The 22,361-nt window shown below is 62.0% G+C and overlaps 1 protein-coding gene and 2 long non-coding RNA genes across 4 annotated transcripts, besides 8 other annotated features; 1 reads left to right on the top strand and 2 right to left on the bottom strand.

Annotated features, from left to right (window-relative positions):
• Window positions 1-311: 311 nt before the first annotated feature.
• On the bottom strand, window positions 312-3,986 carry LOC105372725 (uncharacterized). 2 transcript variants are annotated; one of them, XR_937004.3, is made up of 3 exons: window positions 3,590-3,986; window positions 1,048-1,140; window positions 312-689 (listed from the first exon to the last, which is right to left on the bottom strand). It is a non-coding gene; the product is annotated as an uncharacterized LOC105372725 (long non-coding RNA). The 2 variants fall into 2 exon arrangements; XR_007067713.1 differs by having other exon boundaries at window positions 312-1,140.
• Window positions 3,219-3,724: an enhancer, noted in NCBI's record as "H3K27ac-H3K4me1 hESC enhancer chr20:62133673-62134178 (GRCh37/hg19 assembly coordinates)". NCBI's record gives its function as "activates a minimal SCP1, AML or CMV promoter by ChIP-STARR-seq in naive H9 embryonic stem cells {active_cell/tissue: H9 hESC(naive)}" and the evidence as "EXISTENCE:reporter gene assay evidence [ECO:0000049][PMID:30033119]".
• Window positions 3,725-4,230: an enhancer, noted in NCBI's record as "H3K27ac-H3K4me1 hESC enhancer chr20:62133167-62133672 (GRCh37/hg19 assembly coordinates)". NCBI's record gives its function as "activates a minimal SCP1, AML or CMV promoter by ChIP-STARR-seq in naive H9 embryonic stem cells {active_cell/tissue: H9 hESC(naive)}" and the evidence as "EXISTENCE:reporter gene assay evidence [ECO:0000049][PMID:30033119]".
• On the bottom strand, window positions 4,576-7,762 carry LOC124904955 (uncharacterized). The gene is made up of 2 exons (XR_007067719.1): window positions 7,421-7,762; window positions 4,576-4,719 (listed from the first exon to the last, which is right to left on the bottom strand). It is a non-coding gene; the product is annotated as an uncharacterized LOC124904955 (long non-coding RNA).
• Window positions 6,327-6,896: an enhancer, noted in NCBI's record as "H3K4me1 hESC enhancer chr20:62130501-62131070 (GRCh37/hg19 assembly coordinates)". NCBI's record gives its function as "activates a minimal SCP1, AML or CMV promoter by ChIP-STARR-seq in naive H9 embryonic stem cells {active_cell/tissue: H9 hESC(naive)}" and the evidence as "EXISTENCE:reporter gene assay evidence [ECO:0000049][PMID:30033119]".
• EEF1A2 (eukaryotic translation elongation factor 1 alpha 2) lies at window positions 6,961-18,030 on the top strand. Its single transcript, NM_001958.5, has 8 exons — window positions 6,961-6,986; window positions 8,210-8,424; window positions 10,009-10,188; window positions 10,943-11,239; window positions 12,757-12,907; window positions 15,309-15,565; window positions 16,892-17,126; window positions 17,619-18,030. The coding sequence occupies exons 2-8, from the start codon at window positions 8,281-8,283 to the stop codon at window positions 17,744-17,746; spliced, it is 1,392 nt and encodes a 463-aa protein (NP_001949.1). The 5' UTR covers window positions 6,961-6,986; window positions 8,210-8,280; the 3' UTR covers window positions 17,747-18,030.
• Window positions 7,157-7,952: an enhancer, noted in NCBI's record as "H3K27ac-H3K4me1 hESC enhancer chr20:62129445-62130240 (GRCh37/hg19 assembly coordinates)". NCBI's record gives its function as "activates a minimal SCP1, AML or CMV promoter by ChIP-STARR-seq in primed H9 embryonic stem cells {active_cell/tissue: H9 hESC(primed)}" and the evidence as "EXISTENCE:reporter gene assay evidence [ECO:0000049][PMID:30033119]".
• Window positions 8,578-8,747: an enhancer, noted in NCBI's record as "experimental_60996 CRE fragment used in MPRA reporter constructs". NCBI's record gives its function as "activates a minimal promoter by MPRAs in K562 erythroleukemia cells, with activity observed for both the introgressed and non-introgressed 20:62128735 variant alleles {active_cell/tissue: K562}" and the evidence as "EXISTENCE:reporter gene assay evidence [ECO:0000049][PMID:34662402]".
• Window positions 9,545-10,340: an enhancer, noted in NCBI's record as "H3K27ac-H3K4me1 hESC enhancer chr20:62127057-62127852 (GRCh37/hg19 assembly coordinates)". NCBI's record gives its function as "activates a minimal SCP1, AML or CMV promoter by ChIP-STARR-seq in naive H9 embryonic stem cells {active_cell/tissue: H9 hESC(naive)}" and the evidence as "EXISTENCE:reporter gene assay evidence [ECO:0000049][PMID:30033119]".
• Window positions 9,741-9,950: a silencer, noted in NCBI's record as "silent region_13154". NCBI's record gives its function as "represses an Ori minimal core promoter by ATAC-STARR-seq in GM12878 lymphoblastoid cells {active_cell/tissue: GM12878}" and the evidence as "EXISTENCE:reporter gene assay evidence [ECO:0000049][PMID:35858748]".
• Window positions 11,014-11,183: an enhancer, noted in NCBI's record as "experimental_60987 CRE fragment used in MPRA reporter constructs". NCBI's record gives its function as "activates a minimal promoter by MPRAs in K562 erythroleukemia cells, with activity observed for both the introgressed and non-introgressed 20:62126299 variant alleles {active_cell/tissue: K562}" and the evidence as "EXISTENCE:reporter gene assay evidence [ECO:0000049][PMID:34662402]".

Raw genomic sequence — 22,361 nt, 5'->3', positions numbered from 1 at the left:
CGCTGCTCTCTTCAGGCAGTGGGGTGAGGACAGCACAAGACCGAGAGGGTGCTTGGAGGCGCCCACACTCCCGGCTCTCCTTGGCCATAACCCCACAAGCAGGGCTCCAGGCAGAGCACGGCAGTCCCCCTGGGATGAGAGGCAGAGACTGGAGTGAGGGGCTTAGGTGTGCATGTTGCTGGTGGGGAGTGCTTGGGACCTCTGCAAGCCTGTGGCTGAGGGTGAGGAGGTGCCGGAGGCTCACCAGAGAGCAGTGACTATAGGCCCTGTGCTGTTATCCGTCACTGCATAACCAATCAACACCGATTTAGTAGCTTTAAAAAACATGCATTTATTCTCAGTTTTGGGGGGTCAGGAGCCCACACACAATTCCGCTGGGTGGCTCGGGGTTTCAAGAGTGCCACCAAGGTGTTGGTATTTCTTTCTGAAGCTTGAGGTCCTCTTTGAAGGCCACGTGGTTGTTGGCAGAATTCAGTTCCTTGTGGCTGTAGGACTGAGGTCCCTGCTTTCTTGTTGGCTGGCAGCCTGGGGCCACTCACTGGTTCCCTGATACGAGGCCCCTCCCATGCCTTCCAACAGCCATATCTTCACAGACAGCAGGGGTGTCTTGCTGCTCCGTCCCCCAGGACAGAGCCTGGAATGATGCAGCCAATCACAGAGTGACTTATCACCTTTCTGTGTTCTATGGGCTGGACACAAACCGTAGTGTTTCTCGGAGGAAAGTACTCAAGGCTGCGACTCACCAGGGATTACCTGAGGTTGTATCCACCCAGGTTAGAGCAGAACAAAGATAGTAGAGGACAAGCTGTGTCGGGCAGTATTTTGGCATTTGGCATTTGGACCTGGCCAGAGTGGAGAGACTTGGGCGGCATTGGCATTTGGCATTTGGACCTGGCTAGAGTGGAGAGACCTTACTTTTTTTTTTTTTTTTTGAGGAGAAAGGACTACAATGTACAATAATGCCTACTCCACACTCACCTAACGAAAGTTCAGACCAAGCCCCACAGAGATCTGCAGGGGAGACTGAGATTGAGGGTTGAGTCTTACCAAGGTAGCAGGACTTGGGAAACACTTTGGGCTTTCGACATCGACACTGACAAAGCATGAGAACAAGTCCACAGGGCCCAGCAGTGAACCAACCTGCAAAGCAAACACCGACAGCTTCAGAGGAGGAAGCAGAGTAGACTCTCCACATGATGTTCAGTATTCAGTCAAAAATCACTAGACACACGAAGAAACAGGACAATGCAACCCACGCTCAAGGGGTAAAAGCCAATTATCAATTGATTTATTTCCAGCTGCAAATTCACCCTTTATTGCCTTCCTCAAAAAAGTGAATCTCAGCTGGGTGCAGTGGTTCGCGTCTGTAATCCCAGGGCTTTGGGAGACGAAGGCGGGTGGATCACTTGAGCCCATGAGTTGGAGACCAGCCTAGGCAACATGGCAAGACCCTATCTCTATAAAAAATACAAAAATTAGCTGGGCGTGGTGGTGTGTACCTGTAGTCCCAAATACTTGGGAGGCTGAGGTGGGAGGATCGCTTGAGCCTGGGAGGCCGAAGCTGTGGTGAACCATGATTGTGCCACTACTCTACAGCCTGGGGGACAGAGTGAGACCCTGTCTCAGAAAAAAAGAAAAGAAAAAAAATGAATCTGCCCAGTGTAAAGGAGAAATGCTTAAAGTAATTCTGTCCACTGCTGTGGAGCAGGTATTGAAGGTTAAATTTCGAGCCAAAAGACAATAAACTAGTGGTTGGCATAATGCACCTATCATGTGGCTGAAACATCCTGGGGTGTGTACTGAGCAGGTACACCCGCACAAGAGAGACGCACACAAGTGTTCGTAGCAGCTTTATTTGTAGTCGTTCAGAACTGGAAGTGGAATGCAGTACAGTGATGAAAATGAACAAATGCCTGCTGCACGGGACGGCATGGAGGCATCTCACAGACACGGTCGTGTGTGAAAGAAGCCACACAAAAGGATACACACTGTGCATTGTGTTCCCTTTATATAAAGTTTAAAAACAGGCAAACGTGATCTGTGCTGTCAGAAGTCACCTTTACCGAGGGGCAGGAGGGAATGTTGTTTCTTGGTCTGGGTGTGTTTTCCTGGTGATAACTCATCAGGCACATTTGCAGTGTGTCACTTTTCTCTATGTATGCTCAAAGTCACGTCTTTAAAAAGGCAGACGTCCCCTCTGTGTTCTCCCTGCCCTTCCTCCTGCCCTGGCCCAGCTGCTCGGTTCCTGGCCGTGTGGGGAGGTCCCTCCAGGGGTGGGGAGGCTCTGAATCTCTGTGGGAGGCGATGGTGGGCGGCAGCCCCTGGGAGGCTCATCCCCAGGGTGCAGGCAGGGTCCTGTTATTCCCTTCATAAGATTCCCAGCTGCCTAATTGAGGGAAGGGCTATTCAAAGAGGTGAAAACAGGGCCTCCAGAGCTGCTAATGAACTTCAGGTTCCCCAGGGCAATTTCCCACCTTGAGAGATCCCCCTTGAACCTGGTGCCGGCTACATAGGAGAGGAGATGGGACCTTGGGTGGGGCCCAGGAAGGGAGCTCTGCTTTAGTGGGCCCTTGAGGGGGCCCTGACCACAGACACTGGACCCCCCATTCTCTCCAGACCTGACCACAGACACTGGACCCCCCATTCTCTCCAGACCTGACCACAGACACTGGACCCCCCATTCTCTCCAGACCTGACCACAGACGTTGGACCCCCCATTCTCTCTGGACCAGCTGCAGAATGAGACACAATTGATGGCCCCCTCTTCCTCCAGGGCCCAGAGGAGGCAGCTGTAGGGTCAATGGTCTGCAGACCCTACCCAGGCTCTCCCCTCTGCCTCTGGGCACTGGAGGGCACAGCGCCCCTGTGCTGGCACCAGGGGCTGCCCTTCTTGGGTCCAAGAGGTGACCCCACCCTGGTCGGTGACCCCGGCCTCCTGTTTAGCCTCCCAGCCTGCAATGGGCTGTAATGGCCAGGGGCCGGGAGGGGCTAGCGGGGACTGCAGCTGGAAGCCCAGAAGCCCAGAAAGTGCTGCTTGCGGCAGGAGCACGTGCTGTCTGCTCCCCACCAGGGTGGGTGCTGGGCTCCCGGGCAGCAGGGCCTGGAGGGAGGGCATCCTGCTGCTGCTGCCTCTCACCATGGCAACGCTCCCTGCTGGGGCCTGCAGGTCGGGGTGGCAGGCCAGGCCGCCCTTCCCCCTGGCGGAGGGGCTGCATCCCTCCTGGGCCTCCCTGGTAGACTCAGGTCTGCCTCAGGCACACCCAGATACCGGGTTGGAGGGTGGGCTGTCGGGGCCGTGGCTGGCCCTGGTCTGTGGCCTGACCTGCAGGCATGTTTGCCCGCTGCCAGCCCAGCCCCAGCTTCTCTGATCTGGGGGGACATGAGCTGCTCCTCTAAGGGAGGCTCCAGAGGCAGGAGCTCCTCTGCTGCCATGGAGACTGTTTAATTCGCTGCCTCAAGGGCATGCTCAGTCCCCTGGGAGCCAGCCCCAAGGCATGGCCGCGGGGGTGGGCCTTGTCCTGGTGGCCGTCCAGGGGGCCCAGGTGGGCCAGCAGACGAGATGCTCCGTGACCGGAAAATGAATCCACACCTGCTCTGGGGCCAGGCCAGGGCTGAGGTCATCCTGTGACACTGGGGGCCAGAGAGCGGCCTTGGCCTTGCTCCCCACCCTGCCTCCAAGCCCCTGTCTGCCTCTGGGCTGCCAGCCTCCACCTGCCTGCGACGGTGGCCCCGGGGTGATGGCCTGGCTGTGCCCCATGCACAGGTGGTTCGTTAGGCACTCGGCGGCTATTATTAACCCAGCAGTGACGTCACCGGCAGCCAATGGGAGGCAGGTTTATTTCCAGGGCTGACAGCTTGATAGCGGTTAATTTTAGCTGCATCTTCTTTCCCGAGGCTCGTGAAACCCTAGCCAGCCAAAGAAGGGGTTGCCTGTGTCTCCCCAAACAGCTCAGGGATGGGTCCTGGGGGCTCTGGGAGGCGGCAAGGAGGGGCGGGGCCTGGGGGCTCTGGGAGGGGTCGAGGAGGGGCGGGGCCTGCCCCCAGGGAAGCCCTGATTGGCTGGTGCCCTCTTGACTCGCCATTTCCCCTCCCCCCACCCCCCCCAGGTTGTTGGTGAGGACGGCACTGTGACCAGGGACTCAGATGCAAGAAGAGGGGCCCAAGTCCTGACCTGGGGGAGGGCAGGGAAAGCACAGGCCACAGGCCCCCTTACTTGCTGCGTGTCCTTGGACAGGAATCTTGGCCTTTCTGTGCCCAGTTGCCTCACAGGTTCTCAAGGTCCTCCAGCCAGCCTTGTGGGGCCTACCTTGTAGCCTCTGTCCCCGCAGCCCCCATCCCCGCACACTGTGCACGTGCACGGCCCCCTGTCCCCCGTCCCCCACACTGTGAACTCACACAGCTGGGCGACTTGGCTGTGACTAATTAGGATGCTTGGTACTTGAAGTCATTTGGTGCTACCCGGCCATTGACAAGTGTTTTGCCTGCTTGTTGTGCTATGACAGAATACCTGAGACTGGGTAATTATACATTACTTAAATTTAAACATTTATAAAGTTTGCTTTATAAATTTATAAATTATTATAAGTAAACAGAAGTTTATTTCTCAGTCTGGAGGCCAGGAAGTCCAGGATCAAGGTGCTGCCATCTGGTAGGGCCTTCTTGCTGTGTCCTCACATGGGAGAAGGCGGAAGAGCAAGAGAGAACCCACTGCCATGAGTCCTGTTTATAGGGCACAAATCCATTCGGAAGGGCAAACCCTTTATGACCCAGACTCCTTCCCGAAAGCGCCAGCCCCCAACACTGTTGCATTGGGGATTAAGTTACAACTCGTGCACTTTGGGGACGTGGTCAGGCCACTGCCGTTATTCAGCAGTTAGCATTCCGTAGTTAGTAGCCATTCAGTCCTGTTCAGTCTCCGCGGTGGCTCGGAACCATCAGTGTGTTAGTGTTTAGCCTTGTGACCGCAGCCCCGTTAGCTGTGTGTTCCAAGTGTCTGCGGAACTGAGTCGGTGGCTCCCAGGACCCCGAGGGGCCACACCGTGGACCAAACGTGTCCTGGCGCCTGGGAGACCCTTTGGAGCAGCCACCGACACCCTTGCCCAGAGTCAGCACACAGGTGCTTTGGGGAGGTTGCCACATTCCACTCTCAGGGGCCACTCCTGTGGGTGGCAAGGCCCCACGGCACATGTGAGCCCCTGGCACTGCTATGGGTGAGCCGGGAGCCGAGGGGGAAGGGGTGTCTGGAAAAGGTAGCCCAGAGTCCTGGTGATCCCTTGGGGGAGTGGGGTGGGCATCCCCGGGACCCCGGCCTGGGCCACTCGAGCACCTGCAGCAAGCCCACTTCCAAATCCCTGCCTAACCTTCAGGCTGCAGGGGAGGCGTTAAATATAGAGACCAGCTGGGTGGGGTGGGGCGGGCCTTGCTTTCTTGCCAGGCGGTTATTTTTATTCCTGGCTCCTGTTTGACGGCATCGGCAGCACTCGGAAGTGCCGGGGCACCTAGCAGGCCCTCCCTGCCTCCTCTCCTGCCTGTGGCCCAGGAGCCCAAGTCCCTGGACTCCTATGGGGCAGACGCAGCCACAGACCAGGGTCCTCCTGAGAGGCCCTCTCCACAGGCTGGGGAGAACTGTTTGGCCCCGACCCTGGGCCCCCACCTTTCCTTCCTCCTCACACCTGCCAGCAGGCCAGGTAGGGGTCCAGTCGCTGGGGATCCCCATGGATTTGCCCAGTCGCAGCTGCTGGGCCCGACCCGGGGCCTCCATGTCAACACCCAGTGGGAACTCAGGGCTGAGAGGACAGGTGCCAGGGCTCTGCCCCCACTCAGCACACACCTCCCGAGACCCCGCTGGCAGGAAGATCCGAGTGCGTGGGGGTGGGGGGGCAGCGTGGGAGGGAAGACCTGAATACCTGGGTGAGACGACAGGATCTTGGGGTCTGGAGAAAGCCCCTAACCTTGGTCTTCACACAACACATGGCTGCCACATCCCCTTCCTCACAACCCACGTTGGTCATTACCCGCGTGTGCCAGGACCTCAGGGACTCCCCACTTCCTACAGAGCGTGGCCCGGTCTTTGGCTTGGCATCCTGACCCCATATGAGCATCAGCTACAAGGCGCTGAGGTGCAGCGGGGTGGGGCGCTGGGCGGGGGGGCCTGGGTCTGTCTGGATCTGACTCGCCCTTGGCTGGCGCTGTTTCCCAGCAGCAGCCGGAGGTCGGCGCACCCGGAGGGGAGGGTCCCTGGAAGATGTCAGTGGGTCTGGGAGCGGGCTTCCGGCGTTCCCTGCACCGTGGGAGACCAGCCTCTCAGGGGGAGGGTGGTTCTGCGCTGGATCCTCGGGGCCTGTCATGGTGCGCCCAGGAGGGCAGGCACGTGAGGACAGGGACTGGAAACCAGCAGATTTCCACCCTGAGGCCTGCACCCCCGGGCCTCATTAGGGAGAGCCCCTCAGAGCCGGGCTTCGTTGGTTCTGGGGCGTCCCCCATGAGCAGGGCCGGGGAGGGGCCGGTAGACCCAGGCTCGTCTCCCAGGCTGCAGCCCACCTGCTCCCCTCCCCCGCCTGCCGGCTCCGGTCCTCGGCGTCTGCCCTGTCCCCGGGGACCGCTTTTCGCGGCTCAAGCGTGTTCCTGCCCTGAGCCGGCTCTCGCCCCGTCTCCCGGGCCCGCCGCGCTCTCCCCGCGCCGTCTCCGTCCCGGTCCCTCCCTCCCGCCGCCTCCCTGCCCTGCCCCCCGCCCCGCCCCCGCCCGCGGCGCGTTTCTCCCCCGCCTCCCGCGTCCGTCTTTGCAGCCCGCGCCTCCCGCATCGCCTCGCGTCCCCGTGGCGCCCGCCCGCGCGCGTCCGCGCCCCGCCCCCTCCCGCGCGGTTCCGCATTGGCGTGCTGCAGGGCGCGGTGCACTGCGCCGCCACCGTCAATAGGTGGACCCCCTCCCGGAGATAAAACCGCCGGCGCCGGCGCCGCCAGTCCCTCTGGCTGAGACCTCGGCTCCGGGTAAGGACGCTCGGCCCCCGGGCCTCCGCCCCCGCCCCCGTCTTCCGAAGAGGGACCCCCGGGGCCGGTCCTGGGGGGCAGAGGGTGGCCGGGCCCCGCACCCGCCCCCGCGCGCGCCCGGAGTCCGGCTTCCGGGGGTCCCCGCGTCGGCCGGGCTGGGCCCGGGGTGGGGGGCGGCGCGGGGCGGCGGGGCCGGGTCCTGGGCGGCGATCGCCCCGTAGCCGTGACCTTGGGGCCGCGGGGACCCTGCGGGCCGGGGGCTGATGGGGGTCGGGCTTCGGGGCGCTGGGCCAGAGGACGCTGAGGGAGGTGGTGAGATCTGGGGGCCCTGGCCTCCCCACCCCCACCCGTGTTCCCACCCCAGGGTGGCTTCTGTCCTCTTTCCCTCCCCCAGCCACCTGTCCGCGAGGAGCAGCGTGGGTTTCTCCACTGACCTCTGTGATGGGACAGGGCTGTGACCCAGGGTCCTGAGTCACAGGGAGGGGGGGAGGGAGGGTGCCCCCTATACCCCCACGGGGCCGAGGGCATCTCCACCTGGCACTTGCTGGGCTCGGCAGGGCCGGGTCCTCCTTCCTCAGGCTGGAACAGGGACCCCCACCTCCCGGCCGCTGTCTGTCCCTGTGAGAGTCCGGGAGGGGGGTGCCTAGAGCTATTCTGGGTTCCTAATCTGGGCAGCGCATCTCCGTCGGGGCTCTGGCCCAGCCTGCCGGGCAGGGATGAGGGGAAGATGGCGCCGTCCCTGCCTGAGGAGGGGAGTGGGGAGCAGTGGCCATCTCTCCCCGGTGGCAGCGGGTGGGGGTGGGGCGCCGTGTCCCTGGCCCTGCCGCCGGGGAGGGGAGTGCGCGTGCAGGACAGGGCCCTGGAGCGCTGGGCAGGTGACTCATCACCCGGCTCTGCTGGTCACGGACGTACCCAGCCTGGCGCTGCGTGGTCTCTCCAAATGGTGGCTAACCCCTTCCCAAGGAGCAGCCCGCGGGCTCCAACGCCCAGTTATTTACAGCAGATGGGGCTGTTTGGGCTCAAGTGTGGGGTGGGGGCAGTGCACAGCCTCTGCTTGCCCTGGCCAGGCCCAGCTGTGGGTGGGGGCCCTTCCCTCCCCACCAAACATGGGGGCTTGGTTTGTGGGCAGGGATGCCTGTCCAGCCTGTGCCAGGACAGTCTCTGCTGGTGTCTCCCCCTGGGGCTCCCCATCACCGGTCTCCCCACCACCACTGGCCCCACAGAATCACTGCAGCCCCCCTCGCCCTGAGCCAGAGCACCCCGGGTCCCGCCAGCCCCTCACACTCCCAGCAAAATGGGCAAGGAGAAGACCCACATCAACATCGTGGTCATCGGCCACGTGGACTCCGGAAAGTCCACCACCACGGGCCACCTCATCTACAAATGCGGAGGTATTGACAAAAGGACCATTGAGAAGTTCGAGAAGGAGGCGGCTGAGGTGAGCTCCCCAGGCTATGGTCTTGGCCCCCTGAGAAGGAACCCCCAACTCCCGTGGTGGCCAGGCTTGGCATCTCCCAGCCCCAGGGCATGGGGCTCAGGTGACCTCCTCCAGGGCAGGAGGGACCCCCGCTGTGGGGCACTCAGGCCTCAGAGGGTCTGGTGGGGCAGCCTCTCTCTTAGGGGGAGCTTGGTGGGGGAGGGGTGGCCATCGAGCTGCCGGACTTGCCCTGTGGTGAGGGAGGTGACCTGGGAGGGTCTGCAGAAGGCTCTGGAACTCTGCCATGTTGAGCTGGGGCTGGAGGGCGCTGGAGCCTTACCCCCTTCCCCCCAGGGCCAAGGCTGGGGCTGGAGATGGTACTGCCCTCACTTGTCCTAGGGCCCTGCCAGGGCACACGCTACTATTAATAGCTGATTGATGGGCAGCCGGCCCGTCTGCTCCATTTTCTTGTGCTGGGCTGTGGAGGGCTGCTGTCCAGGGCAGCCCTGGGGTGGGGGTCCTGGATGAGGTGACCTCCTAGCTGACCTTTTGAAGCGATTTCTCTTTGGTGGCTGAGACGGTGGTGGGGAGCGGTCATGAGACGGGGTCTGCTCTCTGATCCCCATCCCCCACCCAGGACTCTGGGGAGAAGCCCACTCCTGGGAGGGCCTGTGGGAGCTCTCACCTGGATGATGAGGGCGGAGGCCAGGGCCCAAGGTGGGGGCACTCGCTGTCCTGGGCTGAGCCTCTGCCCTGGCGGGGTTGGGGGTGCTCTGAGCTGCACCCCTGAGTTTGGGCTGCATCACCCTTTACCTGGCCTTGTCAGGAGGAGGCGGGGGTTTCAGAGGGCCGCTGTTTCAGGCCCCAGCTGGGTCCCATCTGGGTCTGCTCCAGACTGGGCAGCCTCCTGGAGGGCAGAGTCCTGTCTGTGCGAGGCCCTGGCGAGGAGTTCTGCCCAGCTGGGTAGTGACCGCCGCTGCTGCCCTGACTGAAGCCCGTCCCCTTCTGTGGGGGTCTCACTGGCCGAGGCCCCCCAGCTTCCCGTGTCCGGCAGAGCGAGGAAGGGGAGGAGAAGCCTCAGAGGGATGGGGAGGCTGGAGCAGCGGGAAGGAGCTGCGTGGCCAGGCCCTCCTCCTGACCTCATTCAGTTTTCCTTTCTCCTTACCTTAAAAAAACACACACACACAGAGGGTTATTTATCTGACAGCCCCAAACACGGTGGTATTATTGGCCTCTGGTTGAGGAAGGGATCTGGGGGCGTCCGCAGCTTCAGATAAAGGGGAGCCCTCGCCCGGGAGGGGTTTATCCCATCTGGCGGCTTCGCTCGTAGAGCGAGCGACTCCCAGGCCCTTGCGCCACCTGCTGGTGGACCTGCGTAGCCGCGCCCATTTCGGAGCAGGTGCGGAGGCCGGCCCTGGGGGGCAGGGTCTGGGTGTGGGGTCCCGACGGAGGGGGCCGGCGTCCCAGGACCCCGACGGAGAGCAAGGGGGTGCTGGAGCCCATCTCCCGCCTCTCGCGGCCACTCTGCTGTAACAAGCAGCTCGCACCACCAGGGACTCCTGGGTCCCGGGTCCCGCCCTCAGCCGTGACCCTCACCCGCTCCAGATGGGGAAGGGATCCTTCAAGTATGCCTGGGTGCTGGACAAGCTGAAGGCGGAGCGTGAGCGCGGCATCACCATCGACATCTCCCTCTGGAAGTTCGAGACCACCAAGTACTACATCACCATCATCGATGCCCCCGGCCACCGCGACTTCATCAAGAACATGATCACGGGTACATCCCAGGTGAGCAGGGCACAGCAGGCGGGGCTGGGGGAGAGGCCGCTGCACCCTTCAAGGGACACTGGGGGCCCCTGGGGTCACTGGGATGGTAGGGTCTCCTGTGCTTCCTGTGAGGGCAGGGGACCCCTCACCTGGGCCACCCTCACCCAGTCTGGCTCAGAGCCCCCCTAAGGATGAATCCAGTGCTCTGGCATCTGAACCAGTGCCTGTGAAGGCATCCAGCCAGTGTCAGAGTCCCCAGATAGATGGGGGCAGATGGGGACGTGGACACACCTTCATACATGGAGGGGTTGGAGGCCAGGATGGGGAGAGTGAGCAGTGGGCAGAGGTGCCACCCGCCAGGTGTAGACTGTATGACATTTCAGGGCACTCACAGAGACGCACGGACACCCCAGACACAGCACCCTGCAGACAGCAGGACACATGCCACCACCTCCAAACTGCTTTGATAACTGTGACTTCTATCCGTCCTCAAGTGAGGAACAGGAGCAGATAGGCTGAGTGACTTGTCCAGGGACACACAGCCCACTGGTGGTGGAGCCAGGGCTGAACCTCGGTCCCCTGACCCAGGGCCTGGCGATGAGCCCCCATGCTGCCCTTGAAGTGGGGACCCCCATGCCTCCCTCCCCAAGGCCCCAGTGGGCTGCTCAGGCCCCAGCCCGCTGCCTGGAGAGGCCTGGAAGTGAGGTGGGGCCAGGCTCGCTCTGTCCCCTGCCAGGCAGGCGGGGCAGGGCTCACTGTGTCCCCTGCCGGGCAGGCGGACTGCGCAGTGCTGATCGTGGCGGCGGGCGTGGGCGAGTTCGAGGCGGGCATCTCCAAGAATGGGCAGACGCGGGAGCATGCCCTGCTGGCCTACACGCTGGGTGTGAAGCAGCTCATCGTGGGCGTGAACAAAATGGACTCCACAGAGCCGGCCTACAGCGAGAAGCGCTACGACGAGATCGTCAAGGAAGTCAGCGCCTACATCAAGAAGATCGGCTACAACCCGGCCACCGTGCCCTTTGTGCCCATCTCCGGCTGGCACGGTGACAACATGCTGGAGCCCTCCCCCAACGTGAGTGGCGGCTAGGGCGGGGCGGGCCACGGGAGCTGGCTGGACCCCCTGGCCCAGAGCGAGGCACCGGCAGGTGGCACGGGGAGGTCGAGGGCCTGTCCCCGGGAAATGCAGGTTCCCCTCGAAACCTGCTGGGTTTCCCTAACTGGCTCAGGGCCCGGCGGGGAGCCCCATGCCCCTCAGCACCGGGCTTTGCTCCTACACTCAGCCTCCCACGCGGCTGGCCGGGGCCAGGGCCCATCTACGATGTCAACACAGCAGGGGCAGCGGCCTCCAGCACCAGGCCCATGTGCTTGGTCTCCAGAGCCCTGCCATGGGGGCGGTCGGTTTCATCTCTGCCAGGCCATTGTCCTGGTCCTGGACACCGTGCAGGGGCTTTGGGCTGGGCCGTGGGGGCCTCCTTGGCTGCCTCCCCTGGGATCTTGGAGCAGGGTTGGGCTTTGGGAAGTGTGCATGCTTCTGGGCTTGCTGGGATGGCCAAGGGTTGGCTCTTGGCCGGTCACCTGGGAGCTCAACGTGCGAACAGTCTGTAGCCCAGGGACTCTGCCTTGGCTGGAGGTGACGCGTGGAGACACTTGCAGAACCTGAGACTGTTCCCAGGGTTCTCCAAGCCAGAGGAGACCCCAGAATGGCCACCACTAGGCTCTGCCAGCACTGTCGCTGCCCACAGTGAGGGTGCAGGTGTGGAGTCTAGAGACAGCAGGGAGACAGACCAGCAGCACTGAGCCTGGAGCTGAGGTCTGGGGACAGAACTGGGAGGGACTCCCCCAGCTCCGCCTCCATCTCACGAGGCTCGGTGTTGTTTACCTGTGATGGCGTTTTCCTCATGGGGTATCATGTGGCGAACGCCACTCTCCCCTCCCCAGGGAGGCCTCCAGCCATCAGGGACCCTGCACTCCCCTCTGGCCTGAGCTGCTAGGTGGCTCGTGCTTACACAGGCCCTGGGGGGCTGGGGCACTGTGCTGCCGGCCCCCTCCCCTGCTCCCTGTTTGTGGCAGGTGGCCCAGAGGGAGGCTTCATGGGATGGGAGTGGGGGCCACACTAGGAGAAGCTCCGGACAAGGCTGGGCCAAGCTCGGAGGCAGCACGGTGTCCAGAAGCTAGGGTGGGGCGAGGCTCCTCCAGCTCTGTCCCTGGCCTGGCCCTTGGCCAGACTCAGCATCCTCCTAGTCAAGTCATCTGCCCTGCCTGGAGCTGATGGTCAGGGGCCCGGGGTTTCGGGGACTTGGGGCTGGACTGGGGATTTGTTCACAGTGTCAGCAACTCCTGAGCAGCCTGGGCTGGGAAGGGTGCTTTCCCTCTTTGTCCTCCTCCTTTTAAGAGGGATCTCCTTCCCAGAGTCCCTGTGATGCTGGGGCTATGGGCTGGGGAGGAGCAGGGTGGGGAAATTCCTCATCTCAAAGGGCACGAGGCAAGTTTAGCCTGAACAGCAGTACTCCTGGAAGCACCCTGGGGAGGCCTGAGGGTGGGGAGGCCACCAATGTCTCTTAACGGATTGATTTTCTCCCTTTGGTCCAGATGCCGTGGTTCAAGGGCTGGAAGGTGGAGCGTAAGGAGGGCAACGCAAGCGGCGTGTCCCTGCTGGAGGCCCTGGACACCATCCTGCCCCCCACGCGCCCCACGGACAAGCCCCTGCGCCTGCCGCTGCAGGACGTGTACAAGATTGGCGGTGAGCAAGGGCGCTGTGCTGGAGCTCCTGCCTGGCCAGCTCTGCCTGCCCTAGACCAGGGGCCCCTACAAGGCATCTCAAGACTGGGCTGTCTCCAATCTCTCCCCTTACCACACACTTTCTGTGGGACAGTCCATCCCACATCCATCCATCCATCCACCCACCTCCCCACCCATCCATCCTCTGTCCATCCATCCACCCATCCATCTATCCACCTCTCCATCCATCTATCTATCCATCCATCCATCCATCGATCCATCCATCTCCCCACCCATCCATCCTTCACTCCATCCATCCATCCATCCATTGTCCCATCCATCCTTCTCTCTATCGAACCATCCCTCCATCTCTCCATCTATCCACCTCCCCACCCATCCATCCTTCTGTCCATCAATCCATCCATCCATCCATCCATCCACCTCTCCATCCATCCATCCATCTCCCCACCCATCCATCCTTCTCTCTATCCATCCATCCATCCATCCATCCATTGATTGTCCCACCCATCCATCCTTCTCTCTATCCCTCCATCCATCCATCCATGCATCCATCCATCCATTGTCCCACCCATCCATCCTTCTCTCTATCCATCCATCCATCCTTCCATCCATCCATCCACCTCCCCACCCATCCATCCTTCTGTCCATCCATCCATCCATCCATCTCTCCATCCATCCATCCATCCATCCATTGTCTCAACCATCCATCCTTCTCTCTATCCATCCATCCATCCATCCATCCATCTACCCACCCATCCATCCTTCTCTCTATCCATCCATCTATTGACCCACCCATCCATCCTTCTATCTATCCATCCATCCATTCATCCACTCACCCACCTACCCACCCATCCATCCTTCTGTACATCCATCCATCCATCCATCCACCCACCTACCTATCCATCCATCCTTCCATCCATCCATTTATCCATCCATCCATCCATCCATCTATCCACCCACCTACCCACCCATACATCCATCCATCCACCTCCCCATCCATCCACTTCCCCATCCATCCATCCATCCATCCATCTCCCCATCCACCCATCCACCTCTCTATCCATCCATCTCCCCACCCAGCCATCCTTCCCTCCATCATCCATCCATCCATCTCATCCATCCGTTCATCTCCTCATCCATCCATCCATCCATCCATCCATCCATCCATCCATCCATCCACCTCCCCATCCGTCCGTCCATCCATCCATCCATCCATCTATCCCCCCATCCATCCATCCATCCATCCATCCATCCATCCATCTATCCATCCACCTCCCCATCCATCCATTCATCCACCCACCTTCCTACCCATCCATCCTTCTGTCCATCCACTCATCTACCTCCTCATCCATCCATCCATCCATCCATCCACCAATCCATCCATCCATCTCCCTACTCATCCATCTCCCCACCCATCCTTCTGTCCATCCACCTCCCCATCCATCTACCACCCCATTCATACATCCATCCATCCATCCACCCACCTCCCCATCCATCCGTCCATCCATCCATCCATCCCACCAAGAAGAGAAACCATAAACAAATCTGAGACCCTAGAGAAGGGCACTGATAGGAGACCCCCAGCCAGTGGGCTGCAGCCAAAGATGTTGCAGGCATCTCTGTGTGCACTGTGGGGGCATCATGCTCACCCCAGCACAGAGCACAGCCACTGGCCTCAGTGAAGTTGGCTGGAGGCTACAACAGGCCTCCCTCACAGCCCTGGGAGGTGAGGGTGGAGACCCAGTAGCCTGGGGGGGGACAAGACCCCCATGTGGCAGCTGCACAATTGGTTTAAGTAGATCCATGAGAAATGCCAGGGACGCTCATGTGCCGCTGTGCCTGTGCTGCATCTGGCTGAGAGGCCCCTTTAGTGATAGAGACCTGCAGCATCCAAGTGGGGCCCAGAGAGCCTGCAGGGAGCAGGGAGCAGGGCCTGCAGGGAGCAGGGAGCAGGGCCACCAGGCCCCAGGCAGAAGCAGTCAGTCGCCCCGCCCACACTCACAGGGAGGAGTCCTCAGACAAAGGAGGGGTCCCATAGTGCCTCCTTTGAGGGAAAGTGCTCTCCGGGGGCAAGGATGGGACCCCAGGTTCAGACAGCCCCTCTCTGCCCATCCTCCCGCTTCTCTGTCCCTGTGGCTTTTCCGTGGGTTCCTGGGAGCTCTGCTGCTCAGCCTCTTATTTCCCCAGCTGGGTGGGAGAGCCCCCACTTCCCTTGGAATCTCTGTGTCTGCCCTTGTCCCTGGCCTCCCTTCCCCTGCACTCCGCCCATGTGGCCCCAACCCCCAGGCCTGTCGGGGGGATCCAGTCCCAGGCTTTGTTGGTTTCCAGGCTCTGTCCCCGAATATCCTGCCCCAGCATCCCCTCGGGCCCCACCTTCCCCTCACACCCCCTCCCCTCTGCAGGCATTGGCACGGTGCCCGTGGGCCGGGTGGAGACCGGCATCCTGCGGCCGGGCATGGTGGTGACCTTTGCGCCAGTGAACATCACCACTGAGGTGAAGTCAGTGGAGATGCACCACGAGGCTCTGAGCGAAGCTCTGCCCGGCGACAACGTCGGCTTCAATGTGAAGAACGTGTCGGTGAAGGACATCCGGCGGGGCAACGTGTGTGGGGACAGCAAGTCTGACCCGCCGCAGGAGGCTGCTCAGTTCACCTCCCAGGTGGGGGGCTGCGCTGGGTCCAGGGGGCTGGCGCCTGCTGGACAGCAGCAGGACTGTCCTGGGTGAGGCTGCTGTCGGCAGGTGGCCTGGCGTGGGGAGAAAACCAGACCCTCAGGCTGGGCGCAGTGGTTCACGCCTGTAATCCCAGCACTTTGAGAGGCCGAGGCGGGCAGATCACGAGGTCAAGAGATCAAGTCCATCCTGGTCAACATGGTGAAACCCCGTCTCTACTAAAAATACAAAAATTAGCCAGGCGTGGTGGCACGTGCCTGTAGTCCCAGCTATCAGGAAGCTGAGGCAGGAGAATCGCTTGAACCTGGGAGGCGGAGGTTGCAGTGAGCCGAGATTGCGCCACTGCACTCCAGCCTGCGTGACAGAGCGAGACTTCGTCTCAAAAGAAAAAAAAAAAAAGAAAAGGGACCCGCATACCACCGAGGGGGCCACCGAGCACTCAACGAGGGGATCAATCAGTTCTGGGAGGGGTGCAGGCCCTGTGGCTCCCAGCCTGTGTGCAATCGCGGGTCTGTCTTCCACGCTGCACTGCTGGGATGCCCAGCCTTTGAGGTCCTACATTCGTCCTAGAAAAACGCTTTTGTTAACTTACTGTCTGAGACATCTCTGTCATACTTTTATTCTCTACAGTCTTCATTGCCCCTCTTTGCTGGCCTCTTCATATGATTTATTTATTTTTTTTTTGAGACGGAGTCTCGCTCTGTTGCCCAGGCTGGAGTGCAGTGGTGCGATCTCGGCTCACTGCAACCTCCGCCTCCCGGGTTCAAGTGATTCTCCTGCCTCAGCCTCCCAAGTAGGTAAGATTACAGGCATGTGCCACCACGCCTGGCTAATTTTTGTATTATTAGTAGATACGGGGTTTCACCATGTTGGCCAGGCCGGTCTCGAACTCCTGACCTCAAGTGATCCACGTGCGTCAGCCTCCCAAAGTACTGGGATGACAGGTGTGAGCCACCGTGCCTGGCCTCTTCATATGATTTTTAAAAGTGGCTTTATTGAGATACAACTGAAACACAGGAATTGAGGTCCAGTTTTGTCACCCCCCCGCCTTAGTTCCAGCTGGGGTTGGCCGTGTAAGTGCTGCCCCTGCCCCTTCGAAACAATGAATCTCAGTTGTTTATCTTTTGCTTAATGAGGATGTTGAGGTTCAGGTCTGGGGGCTGGGTCCTCAGAGCCTGAGCCCCCTCCAGTCAGCACTCCGGGCCCAGGAGCCCGTGCAGGGGCGCCGGTGACTGGGCCTCCCAGCCCCGCTCTGGCGCCCTCCCGGTGCCCACCGCCGATGTGCCTGATGGCCGCCTGTGGCTCCGCTCGCAGGTCATCATCCTGAACCACCCGGGGCAGATTAGCGCCGGCTACTCCCCGGTCATCGACTGCCACACAGCCCACATCGCCTGCAAGTTTGCGGAGCTGAAGGAGAAGATTGACCGGCGCTCTGGCAAGAAGCTGGAGGACAACCCCAAGTCCCTGAAGTCTGGAGACGCGGCCATCGTGGAGATGGTGCCGGGAAAGCCCATGTGTGTGGAGAGCTTCTCCCAGTACCCGCCTCTCGGTGAGCCGGGGTGGTCCGGGGAGGTGCAGCCCCCAGGCTGTGGCTGATCCAGGCTGAGGGCAGAGGACTGCGGGGATGGGGCGCTGGGGACAGCAGTGGGCCCCCTTTCCTGCGGAGCTTGGCCCAGAGCATGGCAGGAGAGCCACGGCCTCCGTGTCACTGAGTGCAGGTGACCCTGCCCAGACGAGCTGGGGTGGGCCCTGTGTGCAGACGAGGCCCCGAAAGTGAGGGAGGCCCCGCGAGTGAGGAAGGCCCGCGGTCGCCCAGTGGCAGCGTTAGGGCTGCCCCCGCCCCGTGGCCGCCCCGCAGACCGTGGAGCAGCCGCCCAGGCAGGACTCCCGCGAGGCCGGCCGTCTTCACAGGGGCGCGCTCTGCGCTAAGCGTGTTCCGAGGACATTCCCGACGCGGTTGCGCCCCCGCCCGGCCAGAGCCCTGGGGTTGGGGGGGGTCAAGTCCTCCGGCCCCGCCCACACGCCGCCCCCCGCCCCCCAGGCCGCTTCGCCGTGCGCGACATGAGGCAGACGGTGGCCGTAGGCGTCATCAAGAACGTGGAGAAGAAGAGCGGCGGCGCCGGCAAGGTCACCAAGTCGGCGCAGAAGGCGCAGAAGGCGGGCAAGTGAAGCGCGGGCGCCCGCGGCGCGACCCTCCCCGGCGGTGCCGCGCTCCGAACCCCGGGCCCGGGCCCCCGCCCCGCCCCCGCCCCGCGCGCCGGTCCGGCGCCCCGCACCCCCGCCAGGCGCATGTCTGCACCTCCGCTTGCCAGAGGCCCTCGGTCAGCGACTGGATGCTCGCCATCAAGGTCCAGTGGAAGTTCTTCAAGAGGAAAGGCGCCCCCGCCCCAGGCTTCCGCGCCCAGCGCTCGCCACGCTCAGTGCCCGTTTTACCAATAAACTGAGCGACCCCAGAGCCGTGTGCGCCTGCTGCTGGGGGGTGGGCCCCGCGCCCCCCGGACCCCCTCCCTGCCCAAGTGGCCGGCCCAGCATCCTTCACTCCCTGCCCGGGGACCCCAGGGTGGGCGGTGGGCCTGCAAGAGTGGTCCCCTGCGCTGCACAGGGTGAGCGCTGAGCGCTCGCTGAGGAGGGCCTGGTGTCCCCCAGGCCGTGGCCCAGCAGCAAGACCCCATCCGAAGGCCAGGTGGCCTGGGTGGCTTTGAGGGGCTTCTCCATGGCTACTCAGGGCAGAGAATGGTGCCTTCAGATCCACAGAACCAGGCTGCGGGTTTTGGGATCTCTGGGGGCCGCATGAGAGCTGAGGGCTCCTCCACCGCGAGTGACTGTCACACACACACTCATTCTTCCCCTGGCCCCGCACACCTGGTCTCACTCTCCTGCTAAGCCGGTCACCTGTGGCTGCAGCCTGTACCTATCCATCCTGCTCCCAGGTCCAGGCCCTCTGTACGTGGTTGTAGGAACTCCAGCCCCCGAACCCGGGAGGCTGGTGACTTCAGTCAGTGGGCTGGGGGCTTTGGGTCTTCCCTAGTCTCTCTGGGCTAGAACCTGCCCCGACCTTGGCTGGGAAGAGTGGAGGGGTGGGGAGAGGGGAGGACAGCTCCTTTCCACCCCTCCCTGCTCTGGGAAAGCGGCCCCGGCCCACAGCCAGTCATGCTGCAGCAGGTGAAGGTCGGGGTGGAGGGTGAGCAGGTTCCCTGAGGATGCAGAGGAGGGTCAGGGTGGAGGGTGGGCAGCTTCCTTGAGGATGCAGAGGAGGGTCAGGGTGGAGGGTGGGCAGCTTCCCTGAGGATGCGGAGGAGGGTGGGGTGGAGGGTGGGCAGGTTCCCTGAGGATGCAGAGGAGGGTTGGGTGGAGGATGGGCAGGTTCCCTGAGGATGCAGAGGAGGGTGGGGTGGAGGATGGGCAGGTTCCCTGAGGATGCAGAGGAGGGTGGGGTGGAGGTTGGGCAGCTTCCCTGAGGATGCAGAGGAGGGTCTGGGTGGAGGGTGGGCAGGCTCCCTGAGGATGCGGAGGAGGGTGGGGTGGAGGGTGGGCAGGTTCCCTGAGGATGCGGAGGAGGGTGGGGTGGAGGGTGGGCAGGTTCCCTGAGGATGCAGGTGAGGTCAGGGTGGAGGATGGGCAGGTTCCCTGAGGATGCAGGGAGGGTGGGGTGGAGGGTGGGCAGGTTCCCTGACCCTGTACACAGCACTGAGGCAGGCCTCTCTGTCGCCCAGCCCCCAGCTCCCAGCCTGCAGCCGGGTACCTGACTCGGAGGGTTCCGCAGAGCAGGCAGGCTGACCGCAGGGCCTCATAGCGCCTTAGTCTCTTAGGGATGCTGCGACCAATGACGGCAAATGGCGAGGCCTCCTGGGGTCAGGCCAAAACCAGCCTCCCTGCCGAAATCAAGGTGTCGATGGGGCTCTGCTCCTCTGGAGGCCCCAGGAGAGTCGGTTCCCTGCTTCACCCCTTGCCGTGGCTGCCGACACCCCTTGGCTTGTGGCTGCGTCACTCCAGTCTCTGCCTCTGTCGCCACACTGCTCTCTCCTCCTCTGTGTCAAATCTCCTTCTCATGAGGATGCGAGTGACTGCACTTAGGGCCCACCTGGGATAATCTGGGATTGCCCCCATCTCAACATCCTCAACCAAATCTTCAAGATCCTTTCCTGCCACATGGAGTCAGCCACAGATTCCAGGGTTGAGGTCCTGATACCCTTGGGGCATGTTGGACCCACTGTGCTAGGTGAGGACGGAAACGAGGCAGCCCAGGTGACAGGCAGTGGTGATGGGGGCACTGTCTAGGGGCGCCCTTGGAGGGCCTGCTCATGTCTCCCTCCATTCCCAAAGTGGGGTCCCTCAAACCCACACAAAAGGGAGGTAGAATGGGAGGAAGAGTGGAGCAACCAGGGAGTTTGGGCCCCCAGGTGGTGCTGGCAGCCCACGGCCCCAGATGGGGAGGATTTGAACCCACGAACATCAGAGCCACGAGGCCTCCAAGGAGGGGATACAGGACCCAGTCACGTCGGGACTTTGGATATATATCAAATAATTGTTTACTGTAAAATATTTGGGGCATATTTACACAAAAATGGTACTCCTTATTTATCTAAAATTCTGATCTGACTGGGTGTCCTGTGTTTTATCTGGTGGCCCTACCCAAGGACACAGGTGTTCCTGATGGACCCTGGCCCATCCTGGGCCTCTGTGGGGCCACATAGATGGGAGGGGCCTAGTGGGACCTGCAGGGCCTGTCTGGAAGGAAGTTGTCCTTTCACACGTGACCTGGCTAGAACTGGGGCCAAATGGGAGAAATTTGCCAGCCTGAGATGGGACAAAAGTGAAAAACAGCCCCCAGCTGGAGTTGCAGGAATCCCCCTTGGGTGGTCCCTGAGGTGCTCAGGGGTCCCCTCACCCCCATGTCCCAGTTGCAGTTGCTAACTCTGGATGACTCTGGCAGCCTTGGTCACCAGGCACTGCTGGTGGGGGGCAAGCCCAGCCTGCCTGCCATGGTCTGTGCTGGGGCCACAGGGCCCCCTCCAGGTGGGTGTGTTTCTGGGGTGGGGAGGAGCACAGGGAGGGCAGAGAGATGGGAGCACTCCCTGTTCCCACTGGGGTCCCCAGCAGATGAGAGTCCTGGCCGTGGTAGCCTGGAGGGTGGGTCTCCTGGGAGGGTCTCTGACCTCGGCTCCCCTTCTGGGGTAATGAAGGCAGGCCCAAGTCCTTGGGTCTGATGCCTGGCAGGGCTCCGGGCCTTGCTGCGCCCCTCGTGCTCAGGTGGGGGGCTGTGGGGTGGGGACCGGCAGTGGCTGGAGGAGGCCAGGATCTGGGACTGGGCTCCTGGTGTCCATCGTGGGTGGGGGCAGCACCCACAGGGTGCCAGGATTGCCCTGCTGGATGCCGGACAGGGGATACCCTGTGTCCAGCCCACTGTCAGCTCTGGGGAGGGCAGGGGCTTGGCCAAAGCCGCCCTGGGGTCCCCAGCCCTCGGTCTCTGGGGAGTTCTGGTGCCACCCACACCGAGGGCAGAGGAGCTTCTGGCAGGTGAGAGACCCACCGAGGGCAGGAGGAGCTTCTGGCGGGTGAGAGACCCAGGGAAGCAAGCTGTGCTCGTTAATCAGGAAGGGGGGCTGGGGGGACACCAGGCAGAGCTCTGCGTTGCCTCCAGGACAGTAATGCTCAGAGCTTTCGTGTTAGGACCCTTGCACAGTGTTAAATGTCAGGGAGGTTGCATCTGCCACTGTTTAGTATGCTAGAAACTAAACGTGTGGATATTTAAGACACGAGAAAGCAGGGGAGTGTCACACCTCTTATGGCCTCTGAGAACTCCACTGTCCAAGCCAGGACGGGAGAGAGAAGCCTTGGCATTATTGTGAAAACAGATTTTGACCTTGGGGCTTTCTCGAAGGTTCTCGGGAGCCCCGGGGGGCCTGGACCGTGCTTTGTGAACCGAGGCTTTAGGCGGCGGAGCAGTGGGGAAGGCGAGGGGTGGGGTCCCAGCTCTGGCACCTGAGGCCAGGCAATGGGGCCAGAGACGCCGCGGTGCCCCTTCTCCATCGGTGAAAGGGGGTTGTGTGGCACCTGCCCTGAGGGTCGGGCCAGGATGAAAGGAAACCACGGCCTCACGCGGCCTCTGCGGCTGCCTCTCCAGCTCCCTGAACAGGGGCTGCAGTGGAGGTGTGAGCTGTAGCTGCTCCCTGGGGTCCAGAGGAGGGTGGGTTTTTCCCCATAGCAGGTGGGGGTAGGGGGGTGGGGGGGCAGAGCTCACTGGGGTTGGGGTCAGGACAGAACGCTCCGTGGGTGTCGGCTTGGGGAGCCTGAGGACAGCTGGAGGGCGGTGGCCGGGGTGAGGGCAGGGGACCACAGGCAGACAGTGCCCTGGAGCCCTGCAAGGGTGGGACCGTGCAGCCTCAGGGCCCCAGCGGGGTGTTGATGGATGCTTGCAGCTGGCTGGACACCTGGGCTGCTGTCTGGCTGAAGGGGGCGCCAAGGCCCAGAGAGTGGCTCTGACTGGCGGCCACTGGGACTCAGGGTCAGTCCTGGGGCCGCTGAGGCCCCAGAGCAGGTCCTGAAGTCAGGGAGGGCATGGGTGGCGGAAGGAGCTCCACCCTACTTGGGTTGGTGAATAATTTTTTTTTTTTTTTTTGAGTCTCGCTCTGTCGCCCAGGCTGGAGTGCGGTGGCGCGATCTCCGCTCACCGCAAGCTCCGCCTCCCGGGTTCACGCCATTCTCCTGCCTCGGCCTCCCGAGTAGCTGGGACTACAGGCGCCCGCCACCACGCCCGGCTAAGTTTTGTATCTTTGGTAGAGAC

This window comes from Homo sapiens, chromosome 20, assembly GCF_000001405.40.
Source record: "Homo sapiens chromosome 20, GRCh38.p14 Primary Assembly".
NCBI classification, from domain to species: Eukaryota; Metazoa; Chordata; class Mammalia; order Primates; family Hominidae; genus Homo; species Homo sapiens.
The sequence above is the reverse complement of the archived record's forward strand: the minus strand, read 5'-3'. Positions and strand labels throughout refer to the sequence as shown.